Source organism: Homo sapiens, chromosome 14 (assembly GCF_000001405.40).
Source record: "Homo sapiens chromosome 14, GRCh38.p14 Primary Assembly".
In the NCBI taxonomy this organism is placed as follows: Eukaryota; Metazoa; Chordata; class Mammalia; order Primates; family Hominidae; genus Homo; species Homo sapiens.
The window spans coordinates 98943836-98957083 of NC_000014.9; the positions used below are offsets into that span (position 1 = coordinate 98943836).

Consider the following 13248-nt stretch of genomic DNA (forward strand, 5'->3'; position numbering starts at 1 on the left):
TGGACACAGGCTGGGGTCCTTGTTTCTTAAATGTGATTTCCTTTGCCCTGAAACATGTCTCTATCCTGTTGGCCTTGAAGGGGAGCTTTTCCTTTTCCAGGGGATGTCTCTGTGTTTGATCCAGTGTTCGGCGTCTATCTCTCCTCCTCCACATTTCATATATAACCAGTGCCCGAGACCAGGGGCCTTGGTCGTAGGTACTAGCACTGGCATGCTGAGTCCATTTCTCCTGCACCTCCACCCTCTCATCATTGCATGATGTCATCTGAGTCTCCACAGGACATTGCCCACCCATGCTTAGATGATGTGGTCATAATCCATGGTTCATTCAATTTGTCTTTTAGCCCTGGGTGACTCTTTCTTAGGGAAAGTTGTTTCCTGCTCAAAGTCCAAAGAGTTGGTACTAGCTCTGGGTACCTTCCTCTTCAATTGCATTTTGCAGGATTTAGGAGATACGCATGACTTTCCACGGTTTGGGAGTGTGGTTTTTCCTTATGTCAAGGAAAGAGAAAAATTTGTTTCTCATTTTCATTGTTTGTTGGCTGAGATACATTTTGGCTAACAGTAATAGAGACAAATGCCCCAAACCCACTTTGTGTAGCCAGAAGCCTGGCTTGAGTCTTGTATAGAAAAAGGGTTTCCCGTTTCAAAGGGTCTTCATCCAGCTCAGATCTAGTTTTCTAGTTGTGTAAACTTAGCCCTCAATTTCTTAACTGTGGCACAGTTTCCTCATCTGTAAAATGGGGAGAGTCATCATCCCTAATCTTCACAGTTGTTATGGGGACCAGCGAAGGAATCTATGAAAAGATCTCAACGCAGCCCATCACAAGTACTCAACACCTCCTATTGTTGTGATAATGATCCCACAACTTCATGAGGTAGACACAATTGTCTTCACGTGACAGATGTGAAAACTGAAGCACAGGTCAAATGACTTTCCCAAGTCTTCCCAGTACCTAAGTGTCAAACCTTGGCTTCAAAATCCAAACCTCTGCTCCACCCTGTTCCCAACCTGGAGAGACAATCTGTAGAGCATGCTCTACCAACACTTGTGGGTTCACTAGAGCTTTAGATCAAAGTGTACCCATTTTATGGATGAAGGAAAACAAAAGGAGAGTTGTCTAAGGCCCCACAGCTAGTAAGCCACACAGTCAGGACTAGAATGCTGACCTTCAGCAATCTAGAGACTAATGGAAGAATGCAATGAGCTAACCGATCCATGACCAGAGTAGTACCTGCACCTGGATATGGGGACAGAAAGAGAAGAGGAGGAGGAGGCAGGATGGAAAGCTGGTCCTGTCCACCTGCATGAGCCATGAGCATAGACACGTCATCACACCCTCTGAGCCACCAATGCCTCATACTGAAAATGGAGATAATAACTGCGTCATCAGCATCAAGTGAACCAAAGCCCCTTCTGAAACAGAATCTACTCTGTTATCTCAGTTGTGTTTTTAAAAACCATTTATCCCTCAGTGTGTGTGTCTGTAAGGTCATTTCTCCGTCTCTTATCTATCTACCGATCTGTCTAAACACAGGAACAATGTAAACAAAACACTCGTGTATTTTTCTGGGTGGCAAGGATACAGGTGATTTTAATTTTCTTTCTGCATTTCTAAATTTTCAAACGTTCCTGTAAAGAAAAGAGCATGTGTTATTTATATTACCAAGGAAAAACACAAGCCTTCCATGAACACTGATCTCGGTAGTGTTGCTGCAGGATGACTGAGATATCGAGGGGGCTGAGGTGCCAGGGGTCTGCACTCTGACAAGCCTGACGTTACTTCCCTTTCCCTGGCCTGAGAGCTCTGGTTTGTGCCATGTCATCCCTGAGCCTCCATTTCCTCATCTGTCGAACGGGGATGATACTGACTCTTGGAGCTGGCATGAGAGTTTAATGGGACAGTCTATTCAGATGCCTCACACGGGGCCGTAATTACTCCCCAAATGTCAGATCCTTTGCCTTCGACAAAAATTCCAGCTGGATCCTCTGCAAGCCTTTGCTAATGGGCCAAAACTGTAGCCAGGAAGAACTCCTGAACAATACTGTTTATTTATACAGTGGGAAGATTGAAATCATTATGCTTTGACTGGCAGGAGTTATTTATAGGCCTCGTTCCCAGTGAGCTGCTGGGATCAGGGCTCTCCCCAACAAATTCACCAGCTCCCCTGCCTGGCCATGAAACCCCACGGATATCTGAGTGGGCCTCTGCTTCTCAACCACATGAAAGCGGAATTCCTTCCTGGTTCTATTAAGCTAAAATCACTCCCTGCAGTAAACAAGGCACGAGAGGGAGGAGGCCAGAGGAAACCCTCCAAAAATGACTGGGCGGAGCTGAGCGGCAGGAGCAAACGCCAACATCCCTCTGTACAGCAGCTCTGTGTCCTGAGCAATTAGAGATTCCAACCCAAGAAGCCAGATCTCCCTGCGAGTCCGCCATTACTCCCAAGAGTTGATGCGGCCCAGAGTCTGCAGAAAGCACCACAGTGAACATTATGGGTGTGAATGGATGAGATTTGGCTGGATAAAGATCGGAAAAGGGGATGCCAGGTAGGGGAATCTACACAGGCCAAGGCAGGGCGGCTGGAACGTTGAGGCGCTCGGTTGGGTAGAGCACGGGATAAGAAAGAGCAAGCAGTAGGCATTCACATGAATCCACTCAGAATCCTGGCGCAGAGGAGGTGTTCAGTAGATGTTGACTGGCTGGACATTGATAGACTTTGAGCAAAATTAGGATGAAAGGGGGAGGTCTCTGGAAGAGAGGAGGTTGCAGCATTTTTTCCCTTCTCAAGTCTTAGCCCTCTCCCCATGTTCGGAGGTGCACAAAGCTGATTTGAGTCCAGTGCAGAAGGGATCTGAGCCCCCACCCCCACCCCACTCCTGCACAAGTCTCTTCTGCCTCCCCACCAATCAATTTCCAGAGGGCCCAGGAGAGCCCCTTTGGAACTTATACACGGCAAATACCTTACGCCAAGTTTTCAAAGTCAGGGCATTGAGTAAAACCCAGGCTGTTTCTCCAAATCCTTTAAAAAAAAAAAAACTTTCCTTTAAGTTCCACATGCATCTGAATTCAGGGGAAACTCGGACCACATGTTTTTGATCCATCGACACTTAAATCATCAAAATGCTATAGACTGATGGTTTGGAGGCCAACAGGAACACCAGAGTCTTTTAAAGACTTTCTTCTATTTCTCTAGCAATCAGGAAGTGCTCGTTTTCCAAGAGGAAACCAAAGTTTGACTCCAAAGGGGCTGCTGCATTTAGTTCCAAACTCAGCACCCTCAGAGGCCAAGCAGACTCAGAATTTGGCAAAAGCTGCTGTTGCAATCACCGCGGAGAAAGTATTTACAGTCCAAGGAGCTCCACGTTCCTCTGCCTGTTCTGCTGCCCTGTTCTGCCTGGATGCAGCAGGCAAAGGGGGAGGAGGAGTGGCTACGGGCTGGGAGAGAAAGGGCCAGCGACGAAGGGAGTTAGTACCAGGAACTGCTGGCAGACCCACAGGAAAATGTAGATCCTGGCTTCACACATGGGACCTGATGCTGCCACCCACCACACGTGGCCCTGGTGGGGAGCATGGGCCACTCCATCTCTATGTGGTCTTTGGGAGAGTGAAAGTCAACATCTATTTCATGAGACTGTAGGAAAAAGGAAATATTCAATAAGAGGGAAGTAAAATAAAACAAAGCAAAGTACACGTAAATGCATGCCAGGAAACACACTTAGTCAGGAAAACACCTGGCCAGACAGAATTCCATCAGATTTTACCAAAATCTTGCCCCTGGTAGTCATCGTACCTCCATTCCAAATGCCTACCTATCCACTCTGGCTCACTGGCTGGAATAACATTGGCAGGGATTCTGCAACTCACACAACCAAACAGTGAGTGAATAAACATTGAAAGCTCCCTGTGGAGCAAAGAACACATCGTTTCTAGAGCTTAATGTGTCATGAACAAAACTACGTTTCTAGTGGTTGATATCAACCACTAGAGCCTCTTTGCTAAGAGATGATAACAGTAACAGCAATGATAATTAATAATGGTGTATCCCCATCCCCATGAGATTTGTTCTGTAGGCCTCTTCCTGTGTGCCCCACACTGACATTTCCTCAAAGCAGGGGAAAGTTGGTGACTTATGACATAGACACATCCACCCCCAACCATGCTGGTTTGAGAGAGATAGATCCCAATTCATGCTCTGGCCCATGCAGGCACAATGGGCAGGAGCATGTTCCCATTGGTGGCCAAGCTGAGGTCTGGCTGTGCAGCACTGCCATGCCTACCCATCCCCAGCTGACGTCACCTCACCTCCTGCAGCTACACAATTCTGAGGGAGGCTATCCCTAAGGAGTAAATTGCAGTCTGACTAAATGGATAACAGCACAGAGTTATCCTGGAGTCAGACAGTTGCAGTTGGACTTCTGGCTCCACCACTTCTGAGCTGTGTGACCTTCATCAGGTTACTAAATGTCTCTGTGCTTCAAAATCCTCTACTGTAGAATCAGGATAATAATAGTTTCTACTTCATAAGATTGCTGTGAGGCCGGGCGTGGTGACTCACACCCATAATCCCAGCACTTTGGGAGGCCGAGGCGAGTGGATCATATGAGGTCAGAAGTTTGAGACCAGCCTGGCCAACATGGTAAAACCCCATCTCTACTAAAAATACAAAAATTTGCTGGGCATGGTGGTGCGCACCTGTAGTCCCAGCTACTCGGGAAGCTGAGGCAGGAGAATTGCTTGAACCCAGGAGGCGGAGGTTGCAGTGAGCCAAGTTCATGCCACTGCACTCCAGCCTGGGTGACAGAGCAAGACTCTGTCTCAAAAAATAAGAAAAATAGATTGCTGTGAAAATTAAATTAGCTAGTACATGCAAAGTATGGAGACACCGGCAGGCACCCAGTGCCTCTCCCATGTGTCTGCTATCATCATCATTCTTAGGGGACCAAAGAGTAACAAAATCTGTGGACACACAAAAAAAGCACGTGGCACAAAGTTAGCTCTCCACAAACATCAGTTGTCTTTCCTCATACCCGTGCATGTTTCCGGCCAGTCAGGAAAGTTTGCATCAACAGCAAATTCTGTGGTTCCACGGAAGCCTGGGATCATGGAATCGGAACACCAGGGTAGCAGGGGAGCAACGATGGGGTGAGGTCAAATGATCATGTCCAAATACTGCCTTTGGGAGATTTTGCCTTTTTTTTTTCTTTTTAATTCACCATCAACAGTTCAGTCTCCAGTGCTTTGAAATCTCCTGGGAAGATTTTCCCACTGATGTCAGCTGCCTGAATCCCCAGAGCTAGAGATACAGAGAGAAAATCCTCTCAAAGGTCTGGACCACCCACAATGTGCCCTTGACCAAGCAGCCCCTCCTGTCTGCTAATTGGGGCTTGGGGAGGAGGCCAAAGGAAGGTGGGCCGGGTGAGAAAGGAAGAAAGAGAAGGCAATGAGGAGATAAAAGGGAAGTGGGGCTAGGAGGAGCTCCAAATCTTAATCCTTTCTTTCTGCTGGCCTGTCCAGAAATGAATCATCGCTATTTGGTTAAAAGATGTTTTCAGATCCTGGAAGCAAGGTTAAGTAAAAACAATAGGTCTTAGCTCAGGGGGAAAGGAGGGGGCAACATTGTGTCTGGGGACAAGAACTGTCCCTAAGCATCAGAGTCAGCCCTAGGTAACCCCAAGGAGCTGAGAATTTTCCTGCCTTCAAACTCTTAGGGGAACAAAGAAGTGTCGCAAGGGCTATTGTGTCAGGGAGCGAGAAGTCACTCTGACAGTTGGGAACGGCTCTGACCAGAGAATAAAAAGATGGGAAGGCAATTACCATGGATCTCGTCTTTCCTGTTGCTGCAGTGGAAATGCAGGCGAGTGCCAACTGGCCAGCTCATTTGTATGAAGATGAACTAAAGATGAACAAGACTCCTCCCTGCCTCCCCTGGGGGCTTCACACAACAGGACAGACCACAACATCCAGGGAGCCCAGGCTGAAGAGACAGAACCTGACAGCCCAAGTGGCAGCTAGAAGCAGGGGCTGCAACCCCATCCAAACCCCAAGTTCATCCCTCCACATCCAAGTGTCCATGGTCACAAGAGAGGGGCCGGGACAGGCACTCAGACCCAGGCTTGAACCCAGCTCACTGTCTACATTGGCTGTCCAGGCCTCTGTGTGCTCACTGGGGAACCCGGGAGAGTCACACGCCTTGGTTGTGATGAGGGATGGTGAGAGTCTATCCAGTGACAGTGAGTGTCTAACTTTGGGACACCAGGCCCAAAGTGGGCCCGGAAACAAACAGGTTTGCAGACTGAAGCTCAGTCTTCTCCTTCTCAAAGTCTCAGAGCCCTATTTCCCAAAGAGTCTTTGGCCTTTGGTGATTTGGAAAAGAGAGAGGGAGAGTGAGCAAGACAGACAGACAGAGACCGAGGGACATGGGGTGAGATAGAGATACACAGGAAGAGACAGAAAGAGAGAGATAAAGGAAAGACAGGAGAAGGGAAGGGAAGGGAAGGGAAGGGGAAGAGAAAGGAAGGAAACGAAAGGATGGGGAAAAGATAGGAAAGGAAAGAGACAGAAAAGGAAAGGGGAGGGGAGAGGAGGAAGGGGGGAGGGAGGGGAGGAGAGGGGAGGGAGAGGAGGGGAGGGGAAAAGGCTTCCCGTGGTCTAACAAATTGGGAGACTGAAGATTTGGGCAGAATTCAACCTCCTGTTGTGGAACAGGTGTTCTCCTGGCCTGCAAATGCCAGCTGGCCTTGTCAACCTCCAACAGGACGCAGAGTTTGTGTCTGCATGGCTTGTGCACCCTTGGTGGTGAACACACCATGACAGACCCTGGGCGGCACTGTCACTCCTATCACTTGGCCCACTGGTGCCCCCACAGAGCCCCTGCCCCCCTCACAGGTGAGCCTGGCCACAGGGGTTGGAAGGAGCTTGTGGTAGGATCTGGCCAGACTGGGCTGCAGTCTTGGCCAGGCTACGCCAAGCTGGACCATGCCAAGCTGGTCTGTCTTGAACAGTCAGGATGAGTCATCATGAACAAGATGCCTTAATTATCTGTGTGCCTCAGTTTACTCTTCTGAAAAGATAAAATAAAACTCAGTTCCTAAGGGTATTTAAGAGGAAAAGAAATGAACTGATAGATGTGAATAGTTAACTGTGAGTCTCACAACCTAGAGGGTAGTTCACGCGGGTTCATCCCCTCCTGAGGCCATCCCCATGTGATGGGGGTAGGGGTGTTAGAGGAAGGATGCTGACCAGGGATATTTGGTGCTTAAATGGGAGACAACTCATTGGAACTCTTAACTCATGCTTCCCAGAAAGACCACAGGAGGTCTGGACTAGGGAGCCAAAACCTAGCCCCATTTAGGCTGGGAAAAGGTCACTTTTTGAAGCTGCACTTCCCCATCTGTCATCTGTCAAGCCTGGGTCTATGAAGTCCTACCTCCCCTCACTGTGAGGGGGAAACACATAGGGAAGGAGAACGCACCTGTCAGCCTCAGAGGGCCAGAGAGGCCAGGAGGGAAATGGACATTTCCTGAGGGCCCATGCAGGGAGCTCGCCATACATTTACACGGGGCAGCATTTGCTCAGGATGCCCATTGACCCTCCAAGCCAGCATTGTAGAGTCAGGCCTGGGAGACAACTCAAAGGCAGAGGTGATCGTGTGTGAGAAGATAAACAAGATGGGAAAACAGTCTCACAAACACGACCAAATGGTCAATCCATCCATCAGTGCAGAAGCAAGGCCAGGATGGATGACAAAGTCCTTTCTCCCCACCTGGAAAATCTTCCATATTTTATAATTTGGCATGTCCTCAAAGCCCTTCAGATGGAATCACAAACTTGTTCAGCCCTGAGCCACAGTGGTGCAGCTTGAAGAAGTGAGACCCACCTTCTTGAGGCCACTTAGCACCTTCCACCCTGCAGGTAACCTGAGTGAGGCCCCCAAAGGCAATGAGGAGAAAAAAAGCGGTTCTGGTCAGGAAACGCTGAGTTCAAATCCATGCTGCACCACTTCAAAGCCAAGGCCTCAGTTTCTTCACCTTTCTGAAGGAGAAGTTAACACTGGCGTCTCAGGACAGTCAACAGGTTGACGCATGGGTGGGAACAGGCGCACCCAGCTCAGGAAGCCACATGGGGCTGAAGGCAAACTGGCCACATCCGCCCCCCACTACCCCCAGCTTGGAAGCCAGGAGCTTAAATCCAGGTACTCTAGTCTGGAGATTTCTCAAATAGCTTTAAACAGAACTACCATTCCACCCAGCAATCCCATTACTGGGTATATACACCCGAAGGAATAGAAATCATTCTACCCTAAAGACACAGGCACTGGTCTGTTCATCACAACACTATGCACAATAGCAAGCATAGAGAATCAACCTAGCTGCACAGCAACAGTGGACTGGATAAAGAAAATATGGTACATATACACCATGGAATACTATGCAGCCACAAAAAAGAATGAAATCATGTCCTTTGCTATGACATGAATGGAGCTGGAGGTCATTATCCTAAGTGAATTAGTACAGGAACAGAAAACAAAATACCTTATGTTGTCACTTTAAAGTGCAAGCCGAACATTGAGTACACATAGACACAAAGAAATGGACAATAGATCATGGGACCTACTTGAGGGTGGAGGGTGGGAGGACAATGAGGATTGAAAAACTATCTTTCAGATATTATGCCAGTCACCTGAATGACAAAATAATCTGTACACCAAACCCCCACAACGTGCAATTTACCCATGTAACAAAGCTGCACATGTACCTCCCAAACCTAAAATGAAAAATTAGAAAGAAAAAAAGAAAATACATCTTAACAAAAAAAAAAAAAAAAAAAACATGCTGAGCCTCCCAGGAAAGTCCAAGAGCCCTGTCAAAGGGATTGGCAAGCAGTTTAGGCTTTTCCAGGAAAAAAGGGGAGCCCAGCTCGAGGCCACAGAAAGCTCAGTCCCCAACCCTGACTCAGCCCTGAGTCATAAGCTAAAAACACGCCTTTGCCAATTGCAGCTCTCATCAGCCATAAGTAATACGGGACTGATGAAAACTGGGTTTTTCACTCAACAGAGGAGGGTATCTCAGGTAATTAGCCATAACCTCATGTATAGATAATTTGCCTTTTCACATGAGCTCTGGCCGCCATGTCTGGGCCCTACCTCCAAAAAAAACTTACACCAACATTAACCGGCAAGATGTGTTTGATTTCAAAGGATTACCCTTCCCCTGTAAGTATTTTGAGTGCAAAATGCTAAATACACAAACACCCTTAATTGGTTTGTTCTAATCCGCCGACTTGAGCCTCTCTAAAAGAATCTTTGCACTTGGTCTCTGCAGCCACCTTGCATTTGCTGACGGCTCTGCTCTGAGCTCATCTCTGAGCTAAGCATTCCGTAGGCTGGAAAGAAGTGGAGAGGTTCCTGTTTTGATCTATCATTTGTTCATTCATTTCTTCACATCACAGCTACTGGGAACCCACCATGTACCCTAGATGAGGAGCAGAGAACTCAACTTGGAGAAATTTAAAATTGAAATGGGTGGCAGAGACCAAGTCTGATCACTTCCTTTTACAGATTGGAGCCCTGAGGTCCAGCCTTGCCTAAGTTCACCCAGCAAGTTGATGGAGGAGCTAGGAGTAGAAGCTGGATCCATGCCTCCTGGCCTGCTGAGGAGGCCACAGAAATCCTAGCTATGACCTCCCCTGCTTATGGGGGGCAGGAGCAGCCCCCCACTTTCTCTTGGGCACACCAAGACCTCTGAGTTTGTGCAGAGGCCGGGGATGCTCCTGCCAAGTGGCTAACTGCACAACAAGGTCTTCCCCGGCCAGGCCCCTGACTAACCGCCGATCCCGCAGTCCAAGCCCTGCCCCAACTGCAGGACACTCCTGGGAGAGGTTCCCCAGGTTCCCATGACTAAGGCGGCTCTCCCAGGACAGCTCTATTTTTCACATTGTGCCGATGTCGCAATGCCCAGCCAGATGAAGCAAGAGGGACATTCGGTGTCTACCCAACATTTCCAGAGAAGCTCAGGGAAAACTGCCAAAAGCCAGAATTCCTCGGGGCTAACTCCCAGCTCCCCTAATTCCCCAGCTCTTTCTTCAGCATCAAAACCCCTTCCTTTCCTTTTAACTCTAACAATCTCGGTGGAGAAGTGGAAACAGAAAGAGCCGCCTGTGCTGGCTGAGCAGCTCCCGGAGCAGGGCAGGAGGCCAGGCTCGTGGCACCAGGATCTCGGGGTATGGCTGGGGGTTACTGTCTGCCTCATCTTACACATAAGGAAACCGAGGCGCGGAAACTTTAACGGATTTGCCCAAGGTCACCTGGGGAGTGATTGGCAGACCTGGGTCTGGAACCAAAGGTTTCTCTGATGATAACATTAAAAATACGAGCCAACCATGAGCATTCACTTGTGTGGCACAGGTTTGAGTCCTGGCTGGGTTATTACTCATTGGATCCTCACAACAAGTGTATGAGGTAAGAAGCTTCAGTTCCCCATTTTATACCCTAGCAAACTGAGATGCACACAGGTGAAATACCCTGCCCCGGCCACACAGAAGTGCGGGGCAGAGCTCAAACCCAGGTTCCCCATCACTACAGCAAAAGCGCCTAACTTCTCTCCGGGTGGCTCCGCCATACCCTCTCCACTCATGGGAGCTTTGGTGCTACTCAGCCCTGCATGCTCCTGGGGGGCTCCCTTCTCCTAAGGTCCAGGTTTCCATCGGTGAAATGGAACCCTGATGGCTCCCTCACAGCACACAAGATGACAAGGACCTGATAAGAAATTGTGAAATCTCTCCTCTCCTCTGTTTTCTTGTCCACCCCCAAATCCACATCTCACTCAAGTCATACATGTCCTGGAAGCCCGGGTTACTCATACCCATCCCCTAGACACAGTGAAGAGCAGTTAGTCGGTGAAAGGAAAACAACAAATGGTAAGTCTAAAGCCAGAGGGGCCAAGTCCAGGCTTGATCATGGAGCTATTGGGTGGCCCCAAGCAAGCCCTTCCCTGAGCGGGCCCACTGTTCTCATCTGTAACATAAGCCCATGGATAAGAACAATCACATGTGTCCCTTTCAGTGTTACCAGCTTAGGGCTCTGAAATTCAAAAGATGATTTTAAGCCACTGGCTTCCTAATTCAATAGACCAGAGGTATCGATGTGTTCATTCCCTCCTCCTCAAGAAAAGACAGCAGAAAACCTCTCATTGAGCAGCTAGGATGTGCCTGACACATGAAAAATACTCAATTAATATTAGTTTAGTGAACAAAGGAATTCTTTTGTTTCACTGATTTGTGCATTCCCTCATGAATGAGTGAATGAATGAATTAGTGAATGAATGAATGAATAAGCGAGTGAATGAATGAATGAGGGAATGAATGCAAGTCCTAGGCCCAGAGTTTGGTGCTCTCAGATCCAAGCATTGAGCTCTCATAATTAAGGTGCACTGCCTCTGGCTCGGAAATAAACTAGCCTCGCACCCTGGAGGCATATCTATAAACATCTCCGCACCTCTGTTTTCCTCTTTGTAAAAAGGACCCATTGAAACCTACATGAACCAGGTCCTCGTGTGGCTTCAACAAGGTGCCTGGCCTGCAAATAAGAGAGCCTGGCTGCACTCAACAACCACCCTTATTATTTATTTTATCATAAATAGCTATAATTTAAGGCTGACAGTAGTGAGCACTGTTCGAGGGGGGTAGACAAAGTGTTGTGGAGGTTGATTGGAAACTGAAACCATCCCTTCTTCCAGTCGGGGGGCGGCATCTGAGCAGAGAGCTGACTTCAAATGGGACCCATAGTGAGGTGTGGATGTAGGAGAGGGAAGGTTCTAGGGTGGAGAACAGCAGGAAGGACAACAGAGGGAGGAATCATGGATCGCCTAGGAGAGGGGCTGGTTCATCTACCATTCAGTGGAGCATTTGGCAAAGGTGAGTTGAGAACCTACTAGCACAGCTTCCCCACACTGAACAGGTAAGATTTGCTCCTGGCCTCACAGATCTCACGGTCTACGGGGTGCCTAGACAGCTCTGGCCACCACAAGTGTGCCCCATATTGCAGCAGGGAGTGGCCTGGGAGAAGGAGAAGTTCGCACTGTCGTGGGAAGTTGACAGCCCAGTCGCAAGGAGCCATGACTCCCAAGTTAGGGAGGTAGAAAGACCTTCCCTTGTTAGCAAGGGGAGCCATGGAGGAGTTTTGACCAGAAAAGTAGTACAAGTGAAAAACAGCTTCAGAAAGATGAAGTTCACAGCGGTTCAGACAAAACATTTCACACAAGAGAATCCTGAGGAGACAAGGAAGAAGACAGCTCGAACGGGATTCCAGGTAGAAGGGAAAGGATGACAGAAGGCATGGGCAGGGAAGGGAAGGACAGAAAGATGGTGGTGGTGGAGTGGTGAGAAGGAGGCCAATGAGGTGAGAGAATGACAGGGGGCTCAGGCACACCAGACCCACAAGGAGCAGCAGGCTGGCAGGGCAGGTGCTGGCCTGAGGTCGGGACACATTGCATTTTGAGCTATGGTGGGAAACCCAGGTGTCACTTCCCACCAGCAGTGAAATGTGGGAGAATCGCCCCAGGTAGAGATCAGGGCTGCAGAAGCAGAGTGGGGTGCCACATGCACCCGGAGCAGGGAGTAGGTGTCATCACTGCCCCTGGGGCAGGAGTCGGGACAGCCCGGGGCTGGCAGCGATGGGGCCTCCCGGAGATGCCACCAGGCTGCACTCTGACTTGGGCACTCACCAGCCCTTCAACCTCAAAATTCAAATCTATCTTACAATTAAAATGGGGTTTTTGTTTTTATGTATATAAACACTATTTTTGAGACCCTCTGGAGGCCTTGTGGTCTAGTTCCAAGGCCTTCATGATACAGCTTCCCTGTATCATGAATTCTCAGCCTGGGCGATATTGATGATTTGAACTGGGTCACTCTTTGTGGAGGGCTGCCCTGTGCTTTGTGGCATGTATATAGCAGCATCCCCTGCCTCTCTTCACCTGATGCCAGTGACACCTCCTGCCCCTCAATTATGACAACCAGAAACGTCTCCAGACATTACCAAACATCTCCTGGAGGCAACACTTCCCCAGCTGAGAAGCACTGTGCTGTCATTAAGGACACTTTCACATCTTTCCCAACTTTCTCATCTGACACACTCATGAGATTTCTAAGACATCTTATTAAATAAGAAATAAATATTTCTAAGAAATATTAATAATAATAATGGCTAGGGCTTTGTGGTCAGACCCCAAGACAAAGCTGCTCTATT

The 13248-nt window shown here is 48.6% G+C and overlaps 1 annotated feature.

Annotated features, from left to right (window-relative positions):
• Window positions 568-1113: an enhancer, noted in NCBI's record as "OCT4-NANOG hESC enhancer chr14:99410740-99411285 (GRCh37/hg19 assembly coordinates)". NCBI's record gives its function as "activates a minimal SCP1, AML or CMV promoter by ChIP-STARR-seq in naive and primed H9 embryonic stem cells {active_cell/tissue: H9 hESC(naive and primed)}" and the evidence as "EXISTENCE:reporter gene assay evidence [ECO:0000049][PMID:30033119]".